This window comes from Homo sapiens, chromosome 11 (assembly GCF_000001405.40).
Source record: "Homo sapiens chromosome 11, GRCh38.p14 Primary Assembly".
Classification (NCBI taxonomy): Eukaryota; Metazoa; Chordata; class Mammalia; order Primates; family Hominidae; genus Homo; species Homo sapiens.
This window is the reverse complement of record NC_000011.10, coordinates 18,433,781-18,455,177: the sequence shown is the minus strand read 5'-3', so window position 1 is coordinate 18,455,177 and position 21,397 is coordinate 18,433,781. Positions and strand designations below refer to the sequence as shown.

At 41.2% G+C, this 21,397-nt stretch overlaps 1 protein-coding gene across 3 annotated transcripts in view; it reads right to left on the bottom strand.

The window, feature by feature from the left end:
- Window positions 3,115–21,397, bottom strand: part of LDHC (lactate dehydrogenase C) — a 39,746-nt gene continuing 21,463 nt past the window's right edge. For all 3 annotated transcript variants that reach the window (NM_002301.5, NM_017448.5, XM_047426934.1), the window contains 4 exons: window positions 20,265–20,438; window positions 16,533–16,650; window positions 8,845–8,968; window positions 3,115–4,215 (listed from right to left, as the gene is read on the bottom strand). In NM_002301.5, coding sequence (NP_002292.1) covers window positions 4,051–4,215; window positions 8,845–8,968; window positions 16,533–16,650; window positions 20,265–20,438 — 581 coding nt within the window. In that variant the 3' untranslated portion in view covers window positions 3,115–4,050. The remainder of the gene's footprint in view (window positions 4,216–8,844; window positions 8,969–16,532; window positions 16,651–20,264; window positions 20,439–21,397) is intronic.

Below are 21,397 nucleotides of genomic sequence, written 5' to 3'. Positions count from 1 at the left end.
AAGATATGAAACCTGAAGAATTTGATGAATGCAGTGCCAATTGATAACCATTTTTACAAGATGAAGGGAAAGCTCAATTCATTATTAAGTGGTTAAATGTAGAATCCACACTTTGGGAGGCCGAGGCGGGTGGATTAGCTGAGGTCAGGAGTTCGAGACCAGCCTGGCCAACATGGCGAAACCCCGTCTCTACTAAAAATACAAAAATTAGCCGGGTGTGGTGGCACGCACCTGTAATCCCAGCTACTCAGGAGGCTGGGGCAGGAGAATCGTTTGAACCCGGGAGGCGGAGGTTTTGGTGAGCCGAGATCATGCCACTGCCCTCCAGCCTGGGTGACAGAGTGAGACTCCGTCTCAAAAATAAAAAACAAAAATGTAGAATTGAAAATCAGTCTGGAATAAACCAAGGTTTCTACTTCTCCCACCACATTTTACCTAATTGTTTTCTCATTTGTGAATCATAATACGTAATTTTGATGGTTAATACTGAGTGTCAACTTGATTGGATTGAAGGATGCAAAGTGTTGAACCTGGGTGTGTCTGTGAGGGTGTTGCCACAGGAAATTAACATTTGAGTCAGTAGGCTAGAAGACGCAAACCCACCCTCTATCCGGGTGAGCACCATCTAGTCAGCTGCCAGCACGTCTAGGATAAAAGCAGGCAGAGGAACGTGGAGGGACTAGACTGGCTAAGTCTTCCAGCCTTCATCTTTCTCCTGTGCTGGATGCTTCCTGCCCTCAAACATTGGACTCCTAGTTCTTCAGCTTTGGAACTCCGACTGACTTTCTTGCTTCTCAGCTTGCAGACGGCCTATTGTTGTGGGACCTCACCTTGTGATTGTGTGAGTCAATACTCCTCAATAAACTCCCCTTTATATATATAGCTATCCTATTCGTTCTGTCCCTCTAGAGAACCCTAATACAGTAATACATATTGACAAATTTTTATAAAATGTAGAGCAGTGTTTCTCAATCTTTTTTCATTATCACTCCCTCAAGAGTCTTTGTAGATATGTTCCCCCTAATTGTTTTGCACCCCCATCATGAAATTAAATATTAAGGAGTTGGCCGGGCGCGGTGGCTCACGGCTGTAACCCTAGCACTTTGGGAGGCCGAGGCGGGCGGATTGCCTGATCTTAGGAGTTCGAGACCAGCCTGGGCAAAACGGTGAAAGCCCGTCTCTACTAATATAAAAGAAATTAGCCAGGCGTCAGCTACTCGGGAGGCTGAGGCAGGAGAATGGCGCGAACCGGGGAGGCGGAGCTTGCAGTGAGCCGAGATCGTGCCACTGCACTCCAGCCTGGGCCACAGAGCGAGACTCCGTCTCAAAAAAAAAAAAAAAAAAAGGAAAGGAATTAGCCGGGCGTGGTAGCAGGCACCTGTAGTCCCAGCTACTCAGGAGGCTGAGGCAGGAGAATTGCTTGAACCTGGGAGGTGGAGGTTGCAGTGAGTGGAGCTTGCGCCACCGCACTGCAGCCTGGGTGACAGAGCAAGACTCCATCTCTTAAAAAAAAAAAAAAAAAAAAAAAACCTATATATATATATATATATATATATATATATATATATATATACACACACATACACATATACATATACGTTTATTTGTCAGGCAAGGTTGAGCTCTGGAGAGCCAAACTCTTGTAATATCTAAGTTTTTTTTTACCTTTTCCTCCCTCCCCCATACCCAGAACCAATTTTCAGCCACTTGGGGACATGTAGAGCAGTTTTACTTACTAGAATGTTCCCTGTAGAAACTGTATCAATTTTTCAGCCTTTTAATCTCTGCAAGAATTTCCTAAAATGAAGTTTTGATGTACAAACGAGCTTTTAAAAAAGCCAAAACCCACAGAAGACTCCCCTTGCCCTCATCCTAACTCAACTGATAATAATTGTATATATTCAAGGGAAGATGCTGAAGAAAAAGGGGAAATAATAAAATAATGGGACACTAATCATGATCAGGAGTAGATGACCAGAATGAAAGCTATCAAGAGAGCAAGAATAACAGACTCAGAGGGTAAGCCATGACTCTCTGACCAAATGAGTCAGCCTTCACTAGTCATGCGAGTCCTCAGGGGCTGCATATCTACCTTCTGATCTTTCCCATTGGTCCAGTTCTAGTCTTAATTTGTAAATTGACCAGGAGTGGTGGCTCATGCCTATAATCCCAGCACTTTGGGGGGCCGAGGCAGGAGGACTGCTTGAGCCCAGGAGTTGAGGACCAGCCTGGGCAACATGGTGAAACCCTGTCTCCAAAAAATACGAAAATCTGCAGGGCGTGGTGGCATGTGCCTGTAGTCTCAGCTACTCAGGAGGCTGAGGTGGGAGGATCTGATGAGCCCTGGAGTTCGAGGCTGCAGCGAGCCACAATTACCCGCTGCACTCCAGCTCCAGCCTGGGTGACAGAACAAGACCTTGTCTAAAAAAAGAAAAAAAATTGTAAATTACCTTGATACTGATTTCTTAGTTTTTGTTTTATTGTATAGTTCCTATAGCTGCCTTAAATTTCTTGTGGAATCAAGGAAATACTTCATATGTATCTATATACTATATAAATCAGTAGAAGCATTTTCACCTTTAGACACCAACAGGGAGCTATTAATGACTATTATCAAACATTAGTCAATAATCAGCCGGGCGCAGTTGCTCACACCTGTAATCCCAGTACTTTAGGAGGCTGAGGTGGGCAGCTCACTTGAGGTCAGGAGTTCAAGACCAGCCTGGCCAACATGGTGAAACCCTGTCTCTACTAAAAATAAAAAAATTAGCCAGGCGTGGTGGTGGGTGCCTGTAATCCCAGCTACTTGGGAGGCTGAGGCAGAAGAATCACTTGAACCCAGGAGGTGGAGGTTGTAGTGAGCACAGATCGTGTCACTGCACTCTAGCCTAGGTGACAGAGTGAGACTCCATCTCAAAAAGGAAAAAAAAATTAGTCAAAAATCAATTCGTTGAGGTACCCTAAATACTCACTGTGGATACTTGAGGGCAGAGATAATGTCATACTGATTTCATAACTATACCATAGCAAGCATAGTAATAGTCTGCTGCACAAATAACTGAGGATGGCATAAGCTCCCCAGGTGATATTTCAATTGAGACACCAAATCAACTATTTGAGTTTATATGACTAGTATAATACTTGCAGAGTTGAATACAATCTTATTTAGATTTTTTACATCGTAAAGTTACATCTGTATCTTCTTCTTGTTTCTGCTTTTCTTCTGTGTTCTTCTTCTTCTTTTGAGTCTGAGTCTTCCTCTGTGGCCCAGGCTGGAGTGCAGTGACACAATCATAGCCTTGAACTCCTGGGCTCAAGTTATCTACTGGTCTCAGTCTCCCAAGTAGCTGGACTACAGATGCAGGCCACCACATCTAATTTCTTTATTTTTGTAGAGATGGGGTGTTGCTATGTTGCCAAGGCTGGTCTCAAACTCCTGGACTCATGTGATCCTCTTGCCTCACCCTCCCAAAGCACTGGGATTACAGCCATGAGCCACAGCACTCAGCTTTTTATTTCTTTTTGATATATATGGTCTTAAAAATAAGCATTTATAATGATTTTTTTTGAGACAGAGCCTCACTCTTTCACCCAGGCTGCAGTGCCCGGCCACATTTATAATGATTATACATAAACATATGACGCTAATGTAATGAAGTGAATATGCTGGTACTCTAACGGATGAAAGTACAAGATAAAATTGTAATACTAGAAAAAGGGCTTGGTTTGTGAAAAGAATCAAAGCTCTGTATTATAGTGATTATACATATTCTACTACATCTGAAGGCACTCTAACATATGTGACATACCTCAGAAGTATAACTTACACCTGTACAGATTGGGTATCATTAGAATAGAGCTATAAATGATTCTTAAAGAGGAAAATCTCTTTACCATTTGCTCGTTCTAATCTTGAGAGACTAGAGTTATGTCACAGGTCTCCAATTTGTTTTTATTTTTTAAAGATCAAATGAAAATACTTTCAAAATTTAAAATACACAGCCTGCTATCTTCTGTTCTCCAAACAGTGGAACATTAGAAGGCTTTAATTTAAAATATTAGATCCTTTTGAATATTCCAAAGTGTTTCTGCACTCTTCTTGAAAAGGGCCTCCTCCTCAGAATTCAAGTTAATTTTCACAACATCTGAGACACCATTCCGCCCCAAGACACAAGGGATACTGAGAAAGAGTTCTTCTTTTATTCCATATAATCCCTGAAAGGCAAGATAAGATATTGTTCAAATAACCTGATATGGAAAAGCAGCTATGCAAAAGGGCATCAAAATGAGAGTATACAGGAGAGACTAAAGCATTCAACAAGAATCGCTCAGAGGGTGGCAGAGTGATGGTCAGCAAAAGCAAGAGCATCCTTATGTCCTATAACCATGTGGAACTTACATTCAGTGACATGAAGAAGATGCCAGAGGCCTTTAGAAGGACCCAGAAACATACAATTTACCTTATCCCTTACCAGGTCATCTTTTGGTCCACGGGAAAGGATGCCATGCGGTCTTTCATGATGCCATTTTATCAAAAGGAGTACTATGAGAATCAAGTAACTTGTGTGTAGTCCAAACTACATCGAGGCAACAGTGAAGCAGGAGGTGACTGGGAAGGCTCTGCTTCATACCTTTACAGCAGGGAGCATCATTGAGTTTGGACAATGGGTGCTACGGGTGGCATTTTAAGCCTCCAGAGGTAAACCCCCAGTGGAGCCTATAGATGCTCTTACATGCCCGGTGGGGCCTGTGCCTCTCATCACCAGCTGCAATGGAATGCACTCCTGCCCTTCTGTACTCCTATCCACTACCTCCGCCTGAGTTCTATCTGGGACCTCCCATCATGGATAGGGCCATGAAACAGGTGCAGCCCCATGGCACTGCCCTATCCTGGGCCCCTGGAACCTCCCATCAGAAGCCCCAAAATTCCCTCCATTCCTGCAGCCAAGGCCGAGAAGCAGCTGCCAGAGCCTATTACAACCTGGGCAACTCACATAACATCTACATGCATAGGTACCAGCCTCCACCACCTCCATACTATCCTCCCTGGTCTTGGAAGATAGGAAAACTCAATATACCCCCAAAAAATTAAAATTTAAAAAATGTTAAAAGACACCCAGTTAAAAAAAAAAAAAGACACCCAGTAGATCCCTCACACTTCCCTGCCTCCTACCACTCATCACTCTTTACCCCTCTCTTTGGGGCTGAGTCTGGGGTTGTGGGAGAAGGGAGGGCATTGTTCTTCTCCAGGACTGATTATAAACAGTTACCAGGAATGGCGTTGAAGGAAGAGGGGAGGCTCCTTGACTCTGGAGCAGTGCCTCACAGCTTTCCATGCTGCAGAGCCCATGGGCACTATTCAGCCATTCTTCCCTCTCACCATCTCTGGGGCTCTACTCAGGAGCACAAGGTGTGCCCCTTGTTCCTGTTTTGCTCTAGTAACTTCTCCCCACAGAGGGATTCTCTGGTTACCTCCTCTACCATAGTCCAGCTCCCTCATTTTGGTAGCCACTTTACACTCACCCTCATAAGCACCATCAGATCAGCCAAGTGTCATCCCTGAGGGTGCCCCGCCAAGAACTACTTACATTCCTTCCACTTTGGCATCTGCCTAGCTATGGAAAGCCACTGTCTTTTCAGACTGTCAACCCACATTCTATTCAGCCAGGCTCCAGCCACAGTCATACTGAAATTCGCAATTCACTTCCCTATCCTCTTTTTTTTTTTTTTTTTTTTTTTTTTTTTTTTTAGGAGACAGTGTCTCGCTGTGTCACCCAGGCTGGAGTGCAGTGGTGCAGTCATAGCTCAATGTTGCCTGGACCTCCTGGGCTTAAGCAATCCTCCCACTGCAGCCTCCCAAGTAGCACACACCACCATGCCTGGCTATTTTTCTTTTCATTTTTTATAGAGATGGAGTCTTGTTATGTTGCCCAGGTTGGTCTCCAACTCCCTCTCTGATCCTTGATCATTCTGTTGCCACCTCTGTGACATTTGAAGCTTTAACATGAGCTTCCATGGGTGTAATCAGAGGCAAGGCCTCTGATGGTGGCAGGGGAAGAAGTCCCTCTGCTTCCCTACTGGTTATTTCCAGAATTTGTTTCCCTTTACCTCCTGTCATCTCTCTTCTCTCTAGAAGAGGCACCTCAGACTGGAATTCGAGAATTCATGTCCACCCATCATGCCATCTGAGGACTGCTGGGTGGGCTGGGAACAAGGGCTCCTGCCTGAATCCTGGGACCAAGCCTGGCCCTGTGTGCTAACTGTGACCTGCCACTAGCCTCCTCAGCCTACCCTCTTCCCTTTAAGCTTTATGCCTGGTTAGTGATAATTTCCCCTGGATATATTAGAATTTGTTCTCATTTGCTCTTGGACCAGCTGTGAAATACAGAGATTGTTTAAAGAGAATTCCCTATTTGACACACAAAAAAAAAATCCAATTAATACATTAATGTGAAATAAACTCTGCACACCTTGATTTGGTGAAAATGTGAAGTAGTAAAAGTGAAGTAAGTGGGAAAGAAAGAAAAAATAAGAATATACAAATGACTCTGCTTGTAACGTCAAATGTTTAAATGTTCCCTATAAAATATAACTCAGCAGGGCGCGGTGGCTCACGCCTGTAATCCCAGCACTTTGGGAAGCCGAGGTGGTTGGATCGCTTCAGGTCACGAGTTCAAGACCAGCCTGGCAGCAGCACAAAACCCCTTCTCTACTAAAAATACAAAAAATAGCCAGGCGTGGTGGCACGTGCCTGTAATCCCAGCTACTTAGGAGGCTGAGGCACAAGAATCGCTTGAACCCAGGAGGCAGAGGTTGCAGTGAGCTGAGATTGCGCCACTGCACTCCAGCCTGGGCAACAGAGTAAGACTTCATCCCTCCCCAAAACATTAAAATTAAATTAAAATATAATGTCCATTGACTTGTTCGGTAAAGGCTATTAAATTCCCATATTACTCAGTTTCTTCACTGATTACTCATTTGACACTTCCCTGACTCTTTCTCCAGAGTCCTAGAGAGGCAGTTGCTTATTCTCCCATAGGTTCTGCAGCCTCAGAAAAGAAGGGGTGTGTGGTATCCATTGTGTACTCTTTATTGCCTCTTCCAAATCTTTTTTTTTTTTTTTTTTTTTGAGACAGAGTCTCATTCTGTTGCCCAGGCTGGAGTGCAGTGACACAATCTTGGCTCACTGCAGCTTGTACCTCCTGGGTTCAAGCAATTCTCTTGTCTCAGCTGCCCAAGTAGCTAGGACTACAGGCGTGCACCACCATACTCAGCTAATTTTTGTATTTTTAGTAGAGGCAGGGTTTCACCATGTTGACCAGCTGGTCTCAAACTCCTGACGTCAAGTGATCCACCGGCCTCAGCCTCCCAAAGTACTGGGATTACAGGCGTGAGCCACTGCACCTGCCCCGTTCTTCCAAATCATTAATCCCCTGGTCTTATAAAAACAAAACATATTCTCCCTATTTTTTGAAGATCATCTAATTCAGCTCTTCTTCCCTTTGTAAGGACTAACCTCCTAGTTATTCAATCTCATTCACAGACTGACACATGGCTCACAGTCTTCCCTGTCTATCTCAATTTCTGCCATTATCCTTGTTAACTTCAATATACATATGAATAATCCAACCAAAATTCCCTTTCTTTCCACTCTCTAGACTTTTTTCACTTATGAAACCTTCTGCTCCCACTCCCGTTATCCTACTCCTTTCACTATCTCCTTTCACTAAAAATAGAGAAATCGACAGGCCGTGGTGGCTCACGCCTGTAATCCCAGCAATTTGGGAGGCTGAGGCAGGCAGATTACGAGGTCAGGAGATCAAGACCATCCTGGTTAACACAGTGAAACCCTGTCTCTACTAAAAATACAAAAAAAATTAGCCGGGTGTGGTGGTGGGTGCCTATAGTCCCAGCTACTTGGGAGGCTGAGGCAGGAGAATAGTGTGAACCTGGGAGGTGGAGCTTGCAGTGAGCCAAGATCGCATGACTGCACTCCAGCCTGGGTGACAGAGTGAGACTCCGTCTCAAAAAAAAAAAAAAAAATAGAGAAGTCATCAGATGCTTCCAATGTCAAATATACAAATCTACATGCATCAGTACACATTCTCTTTTTGTTAACTCCTGCCCCTCCTCCTTTTAGGGGTAATGCCTACAACTATGCTCTGGACTGCATCCCCCTCTGCTTACCACTTCTGTCTTCATCCTCTCCCTTGGTACTTGATCTTTACTATAAGCATCTTATCTGTGTAACAAACAAACAAACAAACTTCTTGCCCTGATTTTCCTTACCTTCACAACCAAATTCCTAAAAATAGCTATTACACTTGTCTTAATTTCCTCAGTCTACGCAAGTGGTTCTCAGCCAGAGGTATTATAGGATCTAAGCCTGCAGCTACTGTGACCCATCTTTGTTGCCCCATGGAAAAAGTCTGCATGAGTTGGAAGCCAATAGAGGAAAAAGATGAGCCAAGAGAATGGAGAGAAAAGACAGCTCTCATAATATTGTCTGAGTACCAGAATCAGGCCTCCTTGGCATTTCAGTTACATAAGCCAATAAATTTTCTTTTTGCATAAGCTAGTTTGAGTTGGCTTCACACTGTTTATATGCCAGGGCTCAAAACTGTGTCCAAAACTGTAAATGTGATCTTCAAACCTGGTTCTCTTTCAGGATTCCCTTCCTTAGGTCAAGGTATCTGTATTTTTTTGACCTGACCTGAGGTCAAGGTCTTTGTATTTTTTATTCACTATTATATCCTCAACATCTTGTACACTGCCTGGCATATAGTAGTGACCCAATAAATATTAAAGGAAAGAATGATAAATGAAGATTTAATTTAAGCCTACCTTAACCATGGTGGAAACTGGGTGCACTCTCCTAAGATTTTTCAAAATGGATCCTACCAAATCCATCACAGACAGTCCAATAGCCCAAGAGGTATACCCCTTCAGCTTGATAATTTCATAGGCACTACAGTTGTAGAAAGTAAGAAAATCAAATTCATAATAAGTCAACCCAGAGAAAACATAATATTCTTCAAGCATCCATTTTAAAGTTATCTACATGTCAATGCAATTGTATTAGAATTTTCCCATAGATTTCTTACAGAATTTATAAACAGGCAACAAAACTTTCTATACTGGTCTAATAAAACTTCACTACATACTTTATTACTTTTTTATTGATTATTATTATTATTTTTTGAGACAGGGTCTTGCTTCCTTGCCCAGGCCGGAGGGCAGTTGTGTGTGATCATGGCTCACTGCAACCTCCACCTCCTGGGCTTATGCGATCCTCCCTCCTCAGCTTCCCAAGTAGCTACTTGACAGTACAGGCATGAGCCACCATGCCTGGCTAATTTTTGTGTTCTTTGTAGATACAGGGTTTCGCCATGTTGCCCAGGCTGGTTTCAAACTTCTGAGCTCAAGCGATCTGCTCGCCTCAGTTTCCTGGAGTGCTGGTATTATAGGTGTGAGCCACCGTGCCCAGCCTACTTTTTTTAAGTAAAAATTAATTTACCCTTTTTTTAAATCATAAAGGCAGAATACTAGGACAAATGTGCCACTCAAGATGAAACTAGCTTTTAATATTTTTTGTATTGTTGCTTAAATATGCAACATAGAAACTAATCACCTTGAAAGTTACCATATAAATCTCTTGGACCATTTAAAATTGTTACTAGTGGCCAGGGGCAATGGCTCACATCTGTAATCCCAGAACTTTGGGAGGCCGAGGTGGGTGGATCACGAGGTCAGAAGTTCGAGACCAGCCTGGCCAACACTGGCCAACACAGCGAAACCCCATCTCTACTAAAAATACAAAACTTAGCCAGGTGTGGTGGTATATGCCTGTAGTCCCAGCTACTGGAGAGGCTGAGGTAGGAGAATCACTTGAACCTGGTGGGCAGAGGTTGCAGTGAGCCTAGACTATACCATTGCACTCCAGCCTGGGTGACAGAGTGAGACTCCGTCTCAAAAAAAAAAAAAATTGTTACTAGCTTGCCAATGTAAATTTATACAGTTGTAAGCTGTGTGTATATATCTTTCCTAAGAATATATCACTAAATCAATAATAAATGAATATGGAAAATATTCATGATACATTTTCAAAGGAAAATAGCACAATACTAAACATTATGCATTTTCTTATCTCTGGCTTGTAAAAAATATAAATTTTTATACAAACTTTAGAGCTGCATCAACCTACCAAGTTATTAATAGTGATTATTTTTACAAGACAGGCTTACAGGTGAGTCTTCTTTATGCCTGTCTGAATTTCCTTATTTCCTACAATTAATATTTATTATATATTTGCATTGCTACAAATAGTGGTCTCAGGTTTGGATTGACAGTCAACTTCACTGGACAAAGAGGGTTTAATTTAGCACTAAGTTTATTTAACTTTTAGAAAGGATACAGGACAAGAAGCAAAGACTGTCCAGCATATATCATTCATATCAGGAGGTCTTACAACTACCCCGTTTTAAAGCCCCAAGAATGCACATAACACACTTGGTTGCCAAGATAAGGCATATATATATATATATATATATATATATATATATATATATATATACCACCTGAACACAGCAGGTTGGGCCTGGACTGTTCCTACAGTAGTGTCCTATGATTTGACTATCAGTCCAAAATCAGGGCCACTATCAGAGGCCATGCAATACTTTTGATGACAAAAGTACTTTTAGACCCTCAATTCTGTACGGCCAAGACTCCGGGGGTAAGTAAAAGGAAAGGGAAAGAGGGTCTGCCTGGCACTTGATTGACAGCATACTGTCTATGAGTTGAAGAAAAGAAAGCTCTACAGTAGATTACTGGGGACAAATCTCACCAGTTGAATCTGGATGACAGATTTATCCTCTCAGGTATTAATAAAATAGATTGAGAAACAGAAGAAAGTTGAGAATAGCTAAAAACATAATCCTTTAGTTGTTATTAACCATCCTGATGAAAATAAAATTGCTGGTGTAAAAGAAAGGGTAAAGGGAGCAAATAGAAGAAATAGTTTCAAGGATGGTACTTTAAGACAAAAACTGATACACATTGTAAACCAAATGCCCTCTTGGGAACAAGTAAGGACATCCTATTAAATCATGATGTCATTCCTCTGCAATTGGTGGTTAGACAACAGCAAATCAGAAGCTGTTGTGTAAAAAGAGCTGAGTAGTTTTTAGATAAATATTAGCAGCACCCTGAGGATTATTTATAATTATAGATCCTCTGCTAAATGATCAAGAGGCAAATAATTTAATTTTAGATACTGCAGAGTTGAGAGGACCAATAGTGATAAGTACTGATCTGAAACACATTGGAATATTTGGTATTCAAATCACACAGGACTTCAATGGGAAATGTGATCTTAATCCTTGTTCCCTTAAAGCAAGTGTCTCAAATTAAAAAGGAACTGCCCGAGTACAGTGGCTCACACCTGTAATCCCAACACTTTGGGAGGCCAAGGTGGGCAGATTGCTTTAGCTCAGGAGTTTGAGACCAGCCTGGGCAACATGGTGAAACCCCATCACTACCAAAAATACAAAAAGTGGCCAGGCATGGTGGCATGCACCTGTATTCCTAGCTACTCAGGAGGCTGAGGTGTGAGGATGGCTTGAGCCTGGGAGTCAGAGGTTGCAGTAAGCCAAGATCATGCCACTACACTCCAGCCTGGATGACAGAGCCAGACTGTGTCTCAAAAAAAAAAAAAAAAAGAAAGAAAGAAAAGAAAGAACTACCATTCTCTGTGGTACAATTATTAGTGACTGGGTAGATAAAGACCAACACTGTGACAGCCCTATGGGAGGTAGATGGGCTGCTCCATAACACTTGGAAACCGCTATCGGTTAAAACAAGTTCCTTAGTGGGTGGGGGGTATGGATGTGCCTCCAGACCAGTTAGATCCCTGCATTTATTGGAGACTGGTCTCCTGGCCCCTATAGCTGAAAATATATGGGCATAAGGGACAGTTTTGTTGAGAAGGACAGGAAAAGATACTGTAATATTAATACATATTGTGTTTTCTAGGGATTAATTTAACCTCTCATTCAAAGCTTTTTGGTGAAACAAAGCATTTGTAGGTTCCCTTAAGAGAATTTAAGAAAATAAAACATACCAATAATGATTTTCAAAGTAAAAGATATTTTGGTAAATTGACCTAAAACTTTCAATTGATGTGATACTTATGGAAATAGTTTGGCCAAAAAAAGAAATACATTTGCTTTAGAAATATAAAAACTGCGTGGTGGCTTCAGGAGGCTGAGGCGGGCAGATCACCTGAGGTCAGGAGTTGGAGACCAGTTTGACCAACATGGTGAAACCCCATCTGTACTAAAAATATAAAAACTAGCCAGGTGTGGTGGTACACTCCTGTAGTCCCAGCTACTCAAGAGGCCGAGGCATGAGAATCGCTTGAACCCAGGAGGCGGAGGTTGCAGTGAGCCAAAATTGCCCCACTGCACTCCAGCCTGGGCAACAGAGCAAGACTCTGTCTCAAAAAAAAAAAAAAAAAAAAGAGAGAGAGAAAGAGATAAAACATGTGATTGAATGCGTGTATCAATACCTTTAATAAGACGCAAGTGATAGTAAATGATAGAGGGGGGAAAAAAACAGTCTAGTTGGTTAAGAATTACCAAAACATTGTGAAGGATTCTGTTTACCTACTGTGTCTTATAGAGTCTAGTGGTTGTAGATGTACTAACTTGTCTTTTCTATTTATAAAATATTGAAGAAATGTTTGTCAAATGAACTCTGAAGAATATATGATACAAAGATAATAATCTGAGGTCATGGAAAGGTACCAAGGGTAAAGGGTTAACAGTGGATTTGAGCCCTTTCGAAAAAGCCAGAAGTAACTGGGAAGATAACCTTGAGTTTGAGTTCAGGCAACATAGTTTTCTAGATATAAAAATTAGTTAAGATAAATGTGGACTATTAACTATCATAGAACTAGGTTATCAGCACTGGATTTTATGAAACCATTGATTTGTGCATTGTATCAGGACTAGCAGTACTGGGATCAAGTATGCAGACCCTGAGGGCTATGTGACAGGAAGTGCATTAAGAACTGTTGAGAATTTCCCACTTTTGCAGTTAAAAAAAAACAAAAAACAAAACTGTTGAGAACTAAAGGCAGCCGCTTTCCTGTGCTGGGGAAGTCTGCCCCCATGTCAGCTTCCTTCTGTGTAACTGAGTGTGCCCCAAGCAGTGATAGGGCCTAGAAGCTACACCTAAGCATTGCAATACTGTTGTTTTGTTTTGTTTTGTTTTTAGACGGAGTCTCCCTCTGTCGCCCATGCTGGAGTGCAGTGGCGTAACCTCAACTCACAGCAACCTCCACCTCCTGGGTTCAAGTGATGCCTCAGCCTCCCAAATAGCTGGGATTACAGGCGCCCGCCACCAAGCCCAGCTAATTTTTGTATTTTTAGTAGAGACAGGGTTTCACCATGTTGGGCCAGGCTGGTCTTGAACTCCTGACCTTAAGAAGTGATCTAACCGCCTCAGCCTCCCAAAGTGCTGGGATTACAGGCATGAGCCACCACGCCCAGCCGCATTGAAATATCTTCTAAAGGGCCGGGTGTGGTGGCTCATGCCTGTAATCCCAGCACTTTGGGAGGCCAAGGTGGGCAGATCATGAGGTCAAGAGATTAAGACTCCTGGCCAACATGGTGAAACCCCGTTTCTACTAAAAATACAAAAATTAGCTGAGCATGGTGGCGCGTGCTTGTAGTCCCAGCTACTCAGGAGGCTGAGGCAGGAGAATTGCTTGAACCCGGGAGGCGGAGTGCAGAGACCACACCACTGCACTCCAGCCTGGCGACAAAGCAAGACCCCATCTCAAATAAAAAAAAAAGAAAAGAAATACCTTCTAAAGAAGATACTGATATGCTATACTGTGTTTTCTTCCTGGTATCCTTTCACCATGCTAGATAAACTTAATGCTAGGTGAAAACCTATTATGTCCTGTGAGTCGGACAGTCTGAATTTCAGACAACAATTCGTGGCTATATACTTTTAATATTGTTGTTGTTGTTTTTTGTTTTTTTTTTAAGAGATGAGGTCTCACTCTGTTGCCCAGGTTGGAATGCAGTGGACTATCGTTGTTCATTGCAATCTTGCATTCCTGGGCTCAAGTAATCCTCCCATCTCAATCTCCCAGGTAGCTAAGACTACAGGTATGCAACACTACAACTAGTTAATTTTTTAATTTATTTTATTTTATTTATTTATTTTTTTAGAGACAGGATTTTTCTCTGCTGTCCAGGCTAGTGTGCAGTGGTGTGATCATACCTCTGCGAGTTTGAGTTGAGCCTAAAACGCCTGGGCTCAAGTGATCTTCCTGCCTCAACCACCCCAGTAGCTGGGACTACAGACATACCACCATGCCTGGCTAATTTTTTAAAATTTTTTGTGGAGACATGATCTCACTCTGTTGCCCCAGCTGATCTGAAACTCCTGGCCTCAAACAATCCTCCTACCTCAGCCTCCCAAAGGGTTGGGATTACAGATGTGAGCCACTGCACCCAGCCTTAACTGCTTTTTTAACTACGGTAAAATTTATCATCTTAACAATTACAGTTCAGTGGCATTAAGTGCATTAACACTGCTGTGCAGTCATTACTACTATCCTCTCTCAAATGTTTTCATCTTCCCAAACTGTAGCTCTGTACTCATACACATTGCCATGTTACTTTTTATAACCAAAAATAAAATAATATAAACTTTTAAAACTAAAAGGCATTTAAGAGAATAAAAACTCACCCATGATCACTTGTTATATTATGACTTTTTAGTCTCTGCCCTAATTCTTACACATTTTTGTTTTATTATTTTATTTTATTTATTTATTTGTTTGTTTTCTTTGAAACAGAGTCTTGCTCTGTTGCCAGGCTGGAGTGCACTGGTGTGATCTTGGCTCACTGCAACCTCCGCCTCCCAGGTTCAGGCGATTCTCCTGCCGCAGCCTCCTGAGTAGCTGGGATTACAGGGGCACACCACCACACCCGGCTAATTTTTTTTTTTTTTTTTTTTGTATTTTAGTAGAGACGGAGTTTCACCATATTGGCCAGGATGGTCTTGATCTCCTGACCTCATGATCAGCCCACCTAGGCCTTCCAAAATGCTGGGATTACAGGCATAAGCCACTGCGCCCAGCCTATTATTTTATTTATTTATCTTTTTTCTGAGACAGAGTCTTGCTCTGTTGCCCAGGCTGGATTGCACTGGCACAATATTGGCTCACTGCAACCTCTGCCTCCTAGGTTCAAGCAATTCTTGTGCCTCAGCCTCCCAAGTAGCTGGGATTACAGGCACGCACAACCACAGCTGGCTAATTTTTGTTTTTTTTTTTTTTTTTTTTTTTTTAGTAGAGACGGTTTTCACCATGTTGGCCAGGCTGGTCTCGAACTCCTGACCTCAGGTGATCTGCCCACCTTGGCCTCCCAAAGTATTGGGATTATAGGCGTGAGCCACCATGCCTGGCCTCTTACACATTTTTGTAGGGTTGTTTTAAGTATACATACAGTAGACTTGTGGTTTTTGTTAAGTTCAATATTCCAAGCTGTGAATATCCAAAAGTGATTTTTAAGTTCTTTTTTTTTTTTTTTTTTTTTGAGATGGAGTTTCACTCTTGTTGCCCAGGCTGGAGTGCAATGGCGCTGTCTTGGCTCACTGCAACCTCTGCCTCCTGGGTTCCAGTGATTCTCCTGCCTCAGCCTCCCAAGTACCTGGGATTACAGGCGCCCATCACCACACCGAGCTAATTTTTGTATTTTTAGAAGAGATGGGGTTTTACCATGTTGTTCAGGCTGGTCTCGAACTGCTGACCTCAGGTGATCCACCCGCCTTGGCCTCCCAAAGCGCTGGAATTACAGGCGTGAGCCACCCCGCCCAGCCAATTTTTAAGTTCTATAACTTCTACTAATATGTAACTTGACTCTTGACTAAACCATGAAGAATAATCCTGTGTGCTGTTAAGGCTAATATATATGGAGTCAGATGCTTCATTTATAAGAAAACCATATTGATTTCTGATCATCTGCATTAGCTTAATGTTTCATCTACTCAAATGATGAACATTTAATAAGTTCTTGGCATGGTTCTAGCATTTTACATGTAGTATTAACTTATTTACTCTCCATAAGGCTATTATGTAAAGTAGGTTCTATAATTATCCCCATTTCGAAGATAAGTAAACAACTTCTGATATTTTAAGTAATTTCCCAATATCATATCACTAATAAATGATGAAGCAGGTTTCAAACCTGGACAACCTGGGTCCAAAGTCCATGCTCATAATCACTATGCTTTTATTACTCTCAAATATATGAGTTGTGAAATAATAAGTACTTTTTCTTTTTGAAAAATGCCCCCAAAAAGAAAGCTATGTATAAGTCTGAATTTAGTGGTTTTCAGGAGCCTAGAGTTATTTATCTCACAAAAAGCAAGGATCAACTACTTGATTTTTGTCCGTGATATTTATTCTTAAGACTGACTATTAAGGCATTAAGAAACTGAATAGGTACTATTACCTTTGAATAACTTGTTTATGGATATTTTTCCAGTGTTCCTTATCTGAATCCGTTCCTAATTTAGGGTCCAGAGTCTTCAGAGCAACACCAGCAACATTCACCCCACTCCATAAGGGCACTAAAAAATACAGATCTCAAAATAAACTCTTCTTCCCAATATGGCATCAGGAGTTTGAGTTCAGTGTTGTTTTTTTAAGTTAAGTTGCCACCTGATATGGTTCAGATGTTTGTCTCCTCCAAATCTCATGTTGAAATGTAACCGCTAGTGTTGGGGGTGGGAAGTGTCTGATCATGGGTGCAGATCCCTCATGAATAGCTTAGCATCATCTCCTGTTGAAGAGTGAGTCTTCACTCTAAGTTCATGTGAGATCTGGTTGTTTAAAAGTATATGGCACCTCCTCTCTCTCGTTTCTGCCCTCACTATGTGACACATCTACTCCTCCTTTGCCTTCTGCCATGATTGCAAGCTTCCTGAGGTCCTCATCAAGAGCATATCTTGGAGCCATGCCTGTACAACCTGCAGAAGCACAAGCTAAATTAAACCCCTTTTCTTTATAAATTACTCAGCCTCAGGTATTTCTTTTGTTTTTTTTTTCTTTTTCACTCAGGCTGTAGCATAGTGGCTTGATCTCAGCTCACTGCAACCTCCACCTCCCAAGTTCAAGGGATTCTTCTGTTTCAGCCTCCCGAGCAGCTGGGATTACAGGTGTGTGCCACCACACCCAGCTTTTTTTTGTATTTTTAGTAGAGATGGGGTTTCGCTATGTTGGCCAGGCTGGTCTTAAACTCCTGGCCTCAAGTGATCCACACGCGTTGGCCTCCAAAAGTGCTGGGATTACAGGCATGAGCCACTACTCCTGGCCAGGTATTTCTTTTTCTTTTTTTTTTTTTTTTGAGAGGGAGTCTTGCTCTGTCGCCCAGGCTAGAGTGCAGTGGCGCGATCTCGGCTCACTGCAAGCTCCACCTCCCGGGTTCACGCCATTCTCCCGCCTCAGCCTCCCGAGTCACTGGGACTACAGGTGCCCACCACCACGCCTGGCTAATTTTTTGTATTTTTAGTAGAGACGGGTTTTCACTGTGTTAGCCAGGATGGTCTCAATCTCCTGACCTCGTGATCCGTCCACCTCAGCCTCCCAAAGTGCTGGGATTATAGGCGTGAGCCACCGTGCCCGGCCCTGGCCAGGTATTTCTTTACAGCAACACAAAAATGGCCTAAAACACCACCTTACACCATACATAAAAATAGGTTTCAAATGTATAAAAGAGGGAAATGTAAGAAATAAAATTATAAGGTTGTTAGAAAATATGTAGTAGAATTTATTTATAATTGTGTGGTATAGGAGGCATTTTTAAGCAACATACATATTTTTAAGCAATATGCAAAATGCAGTATAAACAAAGAAAAAGACTGATAAGAAAGATAAAATATAAGCAATGAGAGGGAAAAGAATGTCAAATTAATACCATACTTCTCAATAGTAAACAAGAGCCAAGGAGGAATAACTGTCAATCTAGAATCTCACATCCAATTAACCTGTCATTCCAGAATAAGATGAGACTAAAACAGTCATATAAACAACACCAACAGGATAGAGTTCAGGAAGAAATAAATTGAATCCAGGGGAAGAAATTAGATGGAGAAAATAAAGATAAGCAACACAACTGGCCAACCTGTAAATAAATCTGAACAAGTATTAACTATTCAAATAATAATAATTATAACTAGTTTGGGGGATATAAGAACAGTATGGATACAGAAAAGGAATTAATAATTACATGTATGACAGAAAGAGGATGGTGTCAACATCAAAAAAAGGGGATGATCAAACTAAAAGCATTCTAAGATCTTTGTATTATCCCGGCCGGGTGCAGTGGCTCATGCCTATAATCCCAGCACTTTGGAAGGCTGTGGCGGGTGGATCACCTGACGTCAAGAGTTCGAGACCAGCCTGACCAACATGGAGAAACCCTGTCTCTACTAAAAATACAAAATTAGTCGGGTGTGGTGGTGCATGCCCGTAATCCCAGCTACTCAGGAGGCTGAGGCAGGAGAATCGCTTGAACCCAGGAGGCGGAGGTTGCGGTGAGCCGAGATCACACCATTGCACTCCAGCCTGGGCAACAAGAGCGAAACTCTGTCTCAAAAAAAAAAAAAAAAAAAAAACTTTGTATTATCCCAAAGGAGAGTAAATAAATTTATCATCTGAGGTCAAGTATGAATGTTAAAAATTTATAGATAACCATTTATAAGGTAAGTGTATAATTCAAAGTATTAGAGGAAATTAAAGAAAGTAGATCCAATGGAAAACAGAAAAAGAGGAAGGAAACCGAAAAATCATGCTAAATAGAATACTAAACATGTTCAAATTAATACTAATCAGAATATACTGTTTTCTAAAAATAAAGTTATAGAATATTAAATGTGAGAAATTAAAATATACCAGAGAAAATTAGTTTTAATGAACTTCAGGAAAAATAACACAAGCCAACAGGGTCAAAGTAAGGCTCTGGCTGAAGAAATATTTGTCCAAATCAAATAAAGTATTTGTTATATTATGGCTCTTGGATTATAAAGAAAAGGGCACTCTAAATATTTTGAATAAATAAATGAATGTTTGAACAAATGGTCTTTATTCTCAATTGGTTTATTGCCATTATGGAAAGAAGATTTACATACATGACACAATTAAAGAACACTGTAAAAAGTATAAAGTTCTAACCATGTAGCAGAGACTAAATGTTTAAATTCAGTAAAGAGAGAGGTTGGTGTGGCCTCAATAGTTAAAATCACATATTATTTCATTTATATGAAAAATCTGGAATAAATAAATCTACAGAGTGAGAAAGTAGATTAGTGGTTGCCTGGGGCTAGGGTAGGGGAAAAAGATGCGGATTTCATTTTGGGCTGATGAAAAGATTCTGTATTTAGATTGTGGTGATGTTAGTACAACCCTGTGAATATACCAGAAACTCATGAATTCTGTAATTTGCTGGTTGAATTTTATGGTACATGAATTGTATTAGTCCATTCTCACATTGCTATAAAGAAATACCTGAGACTGGGCAACTTACAAAGAAAAGAGGTTCAACTGGCTCACAATTCTGCAAGCTGTACAGGAAGCACAATGCTGGCATCTGCTTGGCTTCCTGAGAGGCCTCAGGAAACTTTCAATCATAGAAGAAGGCTAAGGGGAAGCAGGAGAGTCTTATATGGCTACAGCGGGGGTCGGGGAGGGGGGTGCCACACACTTTTAAACAACCAGATCTCACAAGAACTCACTATTGTGAAAACAGTACTAAGGCAGATGGTGTTAAACCATGACAACCTGCCTCCATGATCCAACCACCTCCCACCAGGCCCCAGCTCCCACACTGGGGATTACAATTCAACATGAGATTTGGGCAGGGACACAGATCCAAACCATATCATGAATTATGTCTTAATAAAGCTGTTTTAAAAAATCACAATAAATAAAAAAGTATTACAGATAAGAGAAACACTCATATTGACTATTAAAACAGCTATATGCTTTGTGGACTATTTTATGAAAGATAGCTAAATCAATGATGCAAAAGATTGAAACTAAAGGAATAGTAAAAGTTACACCAGGGAAATACCAAAAAAATTAAACTTATACAACTATATTAATATCAGGGAAAAAACTTTAAAGGAAATAAGCACTAGTAGAGATAAGAAGGGTAGTCACGTAATAATAATAGATTTATACTTACCACTAGAATCACCATGTTCTCCAATAATCCAACCATGGCAGCTTGTGGGGTGGACACCCAACTTTTCTCCAATTAGGTAACGGAAACGGGCAGAGTCTAGATTACAACCACTTCCAATTACACGAGTTACAGGTAAGCCACTTATCTTCCAGACTATATATGTCAAAATATCCACTAAGAAGAAAAATTTTGTGTTAGAAAAAGATTCATCATAACTTAAAAAAATTTTTTTTTTCCTGAATACATAGATGAATTGTTTTAGAGTCAAATACAGATTTATTACAAAGTGAAGCAAATCACTGGCTGGGTGCGGTGGCTCACGCCTGTTATCCCCTGGCACTTTGGGAGGCTTAGGTAGGTGGATCACTTGAGGCCAGGACTTTGAAACCAGCCTGGCCAATATGGTGAAACTGTCTCTACCAACAAATACAAAAATTAGCCAGATGTGGTGGCACACACCTGCATTCCCAGCTACTTGGGAGGCTAAGAAGGAATCAGAAAACCAACTTTGGTAATATAACAAAAGAAGGCTCGTCAACACCCCCCAAAAATCACATAAGTTCACCAGCAATTGATCCAAACCAAGAAGAAATCCCTGGTTTACCTGAAAAAGAATTCAGGAGGTTAGCTATTAAGCTAATCAGGGAGGGACCAGAGAAAGGCGAAGCCCAATGCAAGGAAATAAAAAAAAAAAAATGATACAAGAAGTGAAGGGAGAAATATTCACATAAATAAATAGCTTAAAGAAAAAACAATAAAAAATTCAGGAAATTTTGGACACACTTTTAGATATGTGAAATGCTCTGGAAAGTCTCAGCAATAGAACTGAACAAGTAGAAGAAAGAAATTCAGAGCTCGAGGACAAGGTCTTCAAATTAACCCAATCCAACAAAGACAAAGAAAAAGAATAAGAAGATATGAACAAAGCCTCCAGGATGTCTGGGATTACAATAAACAACCAAACCTAAGAATAATCGGTGTTCCTGAGGAAGAAGACAATTCTAAAAGCTTAGAAAACATATTTGGTATTTGGGGAGATAATCAAGGAAAAATTCCCCGGCCTTGCTAGAGACCTAGACATGCAAATACAAGAAGCACAAAGGACACCTGGGAAATTCATCGCAAAAAGACCT